Genomic DNA, 7,917 nt, shown 5'->3' with positions numbered 1-7,917 from the left:
CTCTGTCGCCCAGGAAGGAGTGCAGTGGCACAATCATAGCTCACTGCAGCCTCAAATTCCTTAGCTCAAGGAATTAGCTCCTGCCTTAGCCACCCTAGTACCTGGGACTACAGTAGCTGGGACCCAAAGTAGCTACTGGCTACTACACCTGGCTAATTATTTTGTTTTATTTATTAATTATTTTAGAGATAGGGTCTCACTCTGTTACCTAGCTGGACTGCAGTGGCGTGATAATAGCTCACAGCAGCCTTGTACTCCTGGGCTCAAGCTATCTTCCCGCCTCAGCCTCCTGAGTAGCTGGGAGTATAGGCATGTGCCCCACTTACCGCTATTTGTTTGTTTGTTTGTTTGAGACGGAGTCTCACTCTATCCCCAGGCTGGAGTGCAGTGGTGTGATCTCAGCTCACTGCAACCTCCGCCTCCCTGGTTCAAGTGATTCTCCTGCCTCAGCCTCCTGAGTAGCTGGGACCACAGGCGCCCTCCACCATGCCCAGCTAATTTTTTTTATTTTTAGTGGAGACAGGGTTTCACCATGTTGGCCAGGATGGTCTCGATCTCCTGACCTTGCGATTTGCCTGCCTTGGCCTCCCAAAGTGCTGGGATTACAAGCATGAGCCACTGCACCCAGCCTGCTAATTTTTGTTGCTGTTGTTGTTTGTTTTTTGTTTTTGAGACGAAGTCTCGCTCTGTCATCCAGGCTGGGGTGATCATGCAGTGGCATAATCTTGGCTCACTGCAACCTCCACCTCCCAGTTTCAAGCAATTCTCCTACCTCAGCCTCCCGAGTAGCTGGGATGACAGGCGCCCACTACCACGCCCGACTAATTTTTGTATTTTTACTAGAGATGGGGTTTCACTGTGTTGGCCAGGCTGGCCTCGAATTCCTGACCTCAGGTGATCCGCCTGCCTTGGCCTCCCAAAGTGCTGAGATTACCTGCATGAGCCACCATGCCCAGCAATTTTTTGTACAGAAAAGGTCTCACTTTGTTGTCCAGGCTGGTCTCCAATTCCTGGGCTCAAGCAATCCTCCTGCCTCAGCCTCCCAAAGTGCTGGGATTATAGGTATGAGACACTGTGTCCAGTCGATTTTTAAACTTTTTATCAAGGCAGGGTCTTGCCAAGTTTCCCAGGCTGGTTGGGACATGATAATTCCTAACTGGCTGGCCAGCTTCACACAGGGCAGGATATTGTCACTTTCTCTTACTTGGTAGACAATAATTAAGACCTGAGTGTCACACATGGATTCACAGACTTCAAGTTTACACAAACTGCTGAATAGAAACACAAATGGGACCAGGCACGGTGGTTCACGCCTGTAATCCCAGTACTGTGGGAGGCCCAAATGGGAGGAATGCTTGAAGCCAGGACTTTGAGACCAGCCTGGGCAACAAAGCAAGACCCCATCTCTACCAAAAAAAAAAAGTGGGGGGAGGGGGCAGGGCATAGTGGCTCATGCCTGTAATCCTAGCACTTTGGGAGGCCGTGGTGGGCGGATCACTTAAGGTCAGGAGTTCGAAACCAGCCTGGCAAACATGGTGAAACCCCCATCTCTACTAAAAATACAAAATAATTAGCCAAGCATGGTGGCGGACGCCTGCAATCCCAGCTTCTTGGGAGGCTGAGGCAGGTAAATTGCTTGAACCTGGGAGGAGGAGGTTGCAGTGAGCCAAGATCGCACCACTGCTCTCCAGCCCGGGTGACAGAGAGAGACTCTGTCTCAAAAAAAAAAAAAAAAAAAAAAAAAGGTTTAGGGGGAGGGAAATCCACATAGGACACAATATCATTACTATGAAGAAAAAGAAAAAATCATTTAATAATAAATATCAAAAAATAATTTTGATACTCCCAGGTATTTGTCCTAGAAAGAAAAAATAACATGTTTGCACACAAACCAGTGCACAGGTGTTAGCAGCTGTACATAGCTCAAGCCCAAATGTCCTTTAAGCTGCCAGTGGATTCAACAAAATACTACTCAGCGGCCAGGCACAGTGGCTCACACCTGTAATCCCAGCACTTTGGGAGGCCAAGATGGGTGGATCACCAGGTCAGGAGATCAAGACCATCCTGGCTAACACGGTGAAACCCCATCTCTACTAAAAATACAAAAAATTAGCCAGGCGTGGTGGCGGGCACCTGTAGTCTGGAGGCTGAGGCAGGAGAGTGGCGTGAGCCTGGGAGGCAGAGGTTACAGTGAGCCGAGATCACACCACTGCACCCCAGCCTGGGCAACAGAGGAAGACCCGGTCTAAAAAAAAAAATATATATATATAATATATATATATATTTTTTTTTTGAGATGAAGGTTTGCTCTGTCACCCAGGCTGGAGTGCAGTGGTTCGATCTCAGCTCACTGCAAGCTCTGCCTCCCGGGTTCACGCCATTCTCCTGCCTCAGCCTCCCAAGTAACTGGGACTACAGGCGCCCACCACCACGCCTGGCTAATTTTTTGTATTTTTAGTAGAGACAGGGTTTCACTGTGTTAGCCAGGATGGTCTTGATCTCCTGACCTCGTGATCCGCCCTCCTCGGCCTCCCAAAGTGCTGGGATTACAGGCGTGAGCCACTGCGCCCGGCCTAAAATTATTACTTTCTTATTGCTGCACTCCAGCACCTCAGAGGAGGCAAAAAGGTAAACACTGAAAAGAAAATATGCCGGGCACGGTGGCACATGCCTGTAATCCCAGCACTTTGGGAGACTGTGGCGGGCAGATCTCTTGAGCCCAAGAGTTCGAGACCAACCTGCAAAAAATTAGCCAGGTGTGGTGGTGTGCATCTGTATTCCCAGCTACTAGGGAGGCTGAAGCGGGAGGATCGCTTGAGCTGGGAAGGTTGAGGCTGCAGTAAGCTATGATGGCACCTCTGTACTCCAGCCTGGGCAACAGAGTGAGACTCTGTCTCAAAAAAGAAAAAAGAGGGCGGGCGTAGTGGCTCACGCCTGTAATCCCAGCACTTTGGGAGGCCGAGGCGGGCGGATCACCTGAGGTCAAGAGTTTGAGACCAGCCTGGCCAACAGGGTGAAACCCCATCTCTACTAAAAATACAAAAATTAGCTGGGCGTGGTGGTGTGCACCTGTAATCCCAGCTACTTGGGAGGCTGAGGCACTGGAATCGCTTGAACCCAGGAGGCAGAGCTTGCAGTGAGCCGAGATCACGCCACTGCACTCTAGCCCGGGCAACAGAGTGAGACTCTGTTGCCCAGGAAAAAAAAGAAAAAAAAAAAAAAGAAAAAGAAAAAAGAAGAAAAAGAAAATGCTGTGGGGCGCTGCCATGTGGAAAGACATTTGGGAAAGGCTAAAAGAACCCACTGCACACTTAATGGTATATCACATGTCAGTACCCGGTCAGACTCGCCTCTGGTAACATGGAGGTAGACACTCTAGCAAGAATTAGAACACTGGGTCCCTCACAATCCTCAAGGGCTTGGAGCAACTCAGTATTGTGTATAGACTGCAGATTTCCCTTACCATATAATCTTCAAGTGGCAGGATTGATTAAAAAGAAAAATGGCCAGGCGCGGTGGCTTACGCTTGTAATCCCAGCACTTTGGGAGGCCGAGGTGGTCGGATCACGAGGACAGGAGATCAAGACCATCCTGGCTAACACAGTGAAACCCCATCTCTACTAAAAATACAAAAAATTAGCCGGGCATGGTGGCGGGCGCCTGTAGTCCCAGCTACTCAGGAGGCTGAGGCAGGAGGATGGCGTGAACCCGGGAGGCAGAGCTTGCAGTGAGCCGAGATCACGCCACTGCACTCCAGCCTGGGTGACACAGCAAGACTCTGCCTCAAAAAAAAAAAGAAAGAAAGAAAGAAAGAAAAATGGCATTTAAAAAAATTTTTTTGCAGGTTTTATTTATTTATTTATTTATTTGAGACAAAGTCTGGCTCTGTTGCTCCAGCCTGGGTGACAGCGCCACACTCCGTCTCAAAAAAAAAACAGAAAATAAAATTTTTTTTTGTAGAGATGGTGTCTCACCATGTTGCCTAGGCTGGCCTCCAACTCTTGGGCTGAAGTGATCCTCCCACCTCGGCCTCCCAAAGCACTAGGCATGAGCCACCAAGCCTGGCCCAACTATCCATTATGCATAGTTGTAAAGCAAGTCTGGCCAGACGCATTTATACTGGAGCTGATAAAAGGCCAATGGTAAACACTATTTAGGATTTCCCAGAATCTTGAGCCAAGGGGAGGGGTTGGACTGGCAAATTCCCCAGACTGGATAGGGTGTTTCTTGTCAGAGGGCAAGAATTTCTCGGGCAGCTGCAGTGGTCTCCCTTGATCCTCTTGGGGTTGGGGCCAAAACAATCCACTTACCCCTACACTAGAACATGGTCCCTTTTTTTTTTTTTTTTTTTTTGGACGGAGTCTTGCTCTGTCACCCAGGCTGGAGTGCAGTGACACAATTTCAGCTCACTGCAACTTCCGCCTCCTGGGTTCAAGCGATTCTCCTGCCTCATGAGTAGCTGGGATTACAGGCGCCCATCACCACACCCAGCTAATTTTGTATTTTTAGTAGAAATGCGGTTTTACCATGTTGGCCGGGCTGGTCTCGAACTCGTGACCTCAAGTGATCCACCTGCTGCGGCCTCCCAAATTGCTGGGTTATAAGCGTGAGCCATTGTTCACAGGCTGAGTGACGTAGTTTAATGTTATTTATTTATTTATTTTTTAAGACGGAGTTTTGCTTTTGTTGTCCAGGCTGGAGTGCAATGGCGTGATCTCGGCTCACCGCAACCTCCACCTCCTGGGTTCAAGCGATTCTCCTGCCTCAGCCTCCTGAGCAGCTGGGATTACAGGCATGCGCCACCAGGCCCGGGTAATTTTGTATTTTCAGTAGAGACGGGGTTTCTCAACGTAGGTCAGGCTGGTCTCAGACTCCTGACCTCGGGTGATTCGCCTGCCTCAGCATCCCAAAGTGCTGAGATTACAGGCGTGAGCCACCGCGCCCAGCCTCGTGACTTTATTTTAAAATGCTACTCTGCCATGTGATTTTTTTCCTTTTTTAAGAGACGGGGTTTGTAATCTCAGCTACTTGGGAGGCTGAGGCAGGAGAATTGCTTGAACCCGGGAGGTGGAGGTTGCAGTGAGCCGAGACTGTGCCATTGCACTCCAGCCTGGGGGACACAGCAAGACTCCGTATCAAAAAAAAAAAAAAAAGAAAAAGAAAGAAACAGGGTTGGCTGGGCGTGGTGGCTCATGCCTATAATCCCAGCACTTTGGGAGGCAGAGGAGGGCAGATCACCTGAGGACAGGAGTTTGAGACCGGCCTGGCCAACATGGCGAAACCCTGTCTCTACTAAAAATACAAAAATTAGCTGGGCGTGGTGGGCGCCTGTAATCCCAGTTACTCAGGAGGCTGAGGCAGGAGAATCACTTGAACCCGGGAGGCGGAGGTTGCAGTGAGCCGAGATCGAGCCACCGGCAACAAGAGTGAGACTCTGTCTCAAAAAAAAAAAAAAAGAGACGGGGTTTCACTATGTTGCTCAGGCTGGTTTCAAACTCTTGGGCTCGAACGGTCTTCCTGCCTCAGCCTCCCAAAATGCTGGCATTATAGGCATGAGCCACTGCACCCAGCCTGCCGTGTGACTTCTGACTAACCCGAAACTGGGAATGCCTCCAACATGTCTAACGGATGTGTTACTCTTTATGTAGAAACACGTACTTACCAGCCTTTCCTCCAGAACAAGCCTTGATGTTGTCACATCCATCACAAGATGTATCGCCCATAGCCACCTACGCGTTTCTTCCAGAGCACAGATATGCTTTCCTCGAGATAGAAGCCCTGTGTCTGGGGGTTGCAGGGTGTGATCTATCTGTCTTGCTGCTGCCCAAGACCACACTTCTTTTTTTTTTTTTTCCAGACAGGGTCTTGCTTTGTAGCCCAGGCTGGAGTGCAGTGGCGTGAGCTCGGCTCACTGCAGTCTCCACCTCCCGGGTTCAAGTGATTCTCCTGCCTCAACCTCTCCAGTAGCTGGGATTACAGGCGCCCACCACCACACCTGGCTAATTTTTGTATTTTTAGTGGAGACAAGTTTCACCATGTCAGTCAGGCTGGTCTCGAACTCCTGACCCCAAGTGAGCCACCTGCCTCGGCCTCCCAAAGTGCTGGGATTCCAGGCATAAGCCACCATGCCTGGCGAAGACCACACTCTAAGTTTCCCCCTAATAAACCACCCTGTATTGACAAACTAGATGGGTCGGCCTCATTCTTTGGTTTCTTGGCTCCTTCGGCATTTGGGGACCGCTTTGCCTATATGAACCTTTCAAAGAACACCATTTAGGCCCGTTTTCCAGATTGGGTCACTGAAGCTCAACTCCCCTCATTTTCTGAGAGAGGCAAAGAGAGGCTGCAGCTGATGTTTGCTATGCTCATTGTTCAGGTGCAGCTGGGAGGGCATGACACACATATAGCTTCCCAGGACATTCCAGGATCTGGGAATATGTATTTTTGTTTTGTTTTGTTCTGAGACAGAGTCCCGCTTGGTCACCCAGGCTGATGTGCAGCGTTGCAATCACCGCTTCCCAGGCCCAAGCGATCCTTTCACCTCAGCCTCCCAAGTAGCTGGGACTACAGGCATGTGCCACCACACCCAGCTAATTTTTTTTTTTTTCTTGAGATGGAGTCTTGCTCTGTCACCCAGGCTGGAGTACAGTAGTGTGATCTTGGCTCACTGCAACCTCTGCCTCCCAGGTTCAAGTGATTCTTGTGCCTCAGCCTCCCTGAGTAGCTGGGATTACAGGTGTACACCACCACGCCCGGCTAATTTTGGTATTTTTTTGTAGAGACGGGGTTTCACGTTGCCCAGGCTGGGCTTGAATTCCTGCCCTCAAGTGATCCGCCCACATCAGCCTCCCAAAGTGCTGGGATTATAGTTGTGAGTGACTGCGCCTGGCCCTATTTATTTATTTTTTTACATAGAGATGGGGTCTCCCTATATTGCCCAGGTTGGCCTCAAACTCCTGGGCTCAAAGGATCCTTCCTCCTTGGCCTCCTGAAGCGTTGGGATTATAGGCATCAGCCACTGTGCCCGGCCTATTTATTTTTCTCGAGAAAGGGTCTTGCCCTGTCTCCCAGGCTGGAGTGCAGTGGCGTGGTCATGGCTCACTGTAGCCTTAACCTTCTGTGGCCAAGCGATTCTTCTGTCCTTAAGCCTCCTGAGTAGCTGGGACCACAGGTGCATGCCACAACACCCGGCTAATTTTTTTTTTTTTTTTTTTTTTTTTTTTAGAGATGAGGTCTTGCTATGTTGCTCAGGCTGGTCTTGAGCTCTGAGCTTGAGTCATCCTCCTGTCATCCTCTCCTGAAACCCCCCACCCTGCCCATCCCTGGCCTCCAAAGTGCTGAGCTTATAGGCATGAACCACTGTGCCTGGCCAGAATTTCATTTAAACAAATACTCCTGGCCGGGCGTGGTGGCTCAGGCCTGTAATCCCAACACTGTGGGAGGCCGAGGCGGGGGGATCACCTGAGGTCAGGAGTTCTCAAGACCAGCCTGACCAACATGGTGAAAGCCCCATCTCTACTAAAAATACAGAAAAATTAGCCGGGTGTGTGCTGGGCACCTGTAATCCCAGCTACTCAGGAGACTGAGGCAGGAGAATCGCTTGAACCCAGGAGGCAGAGGTTGCAGTAAACCGAGATCGCGTCATCGTACTCCAGCCTGGGAGACAGAGCAAGACTCTGTCTCCAAAAACAAAACAAAACAAAAACAAATATTCCCCGCTTGCTTTTTACCAGACCCCAACTTGGTCCAAGGAAAGCATCCCCATCCCAGGTGAGGATGAAATCACCACTGGTGGATGCCAGCTTGGTGGATCTGTCTGCAGCTGTCACTGACCTGTGCCTCACAGCCAGTGGGATATAAGGGAACATGAGGAGAGGGCTGAAAGGAGAGGGAACTCTGGGGACAGATTTTCTCCCA

At 50.0% G+C, this 7,917-nt stretch overlaps 1 annotated feature.

Annotated features, from left to right (window-relative positions):
- Positions 5,589–5,883: a silencer, noted in NCBI's record as "tiled region #4424; K562 Repressive DNase matched - State 5:Enh". NCBI's record gives its function as "represses a minimal TATA promoter and a strong SV40 promoter by Sharpr-MPRA in K562 cells {active_cell/tissue: K562}" and the evidence as "EXISTENCE:reporter gene assay evidence [ECO:0000049][PMID:27701403]".

The sequence above is a fragment of the Homo sapiens genome, chromosome 19 (genome assembly GCF_000001405.40).
Source record: "Homo sapiens chromosome 19, GRCh38.p14 Primary Assembly".
Classification (NCBI taxonomy): domain Eukaryota; kingdom Metazoa; phylum Chordata; class Mammalia; order Primates; family Hominidae; genus Homo; species Homo sapiens.
The sequence above is the reverse complement of the archived record's forward strand: the minus strand, read 5'-3'. Positions and strand labels throughout refer to the sequence as shown.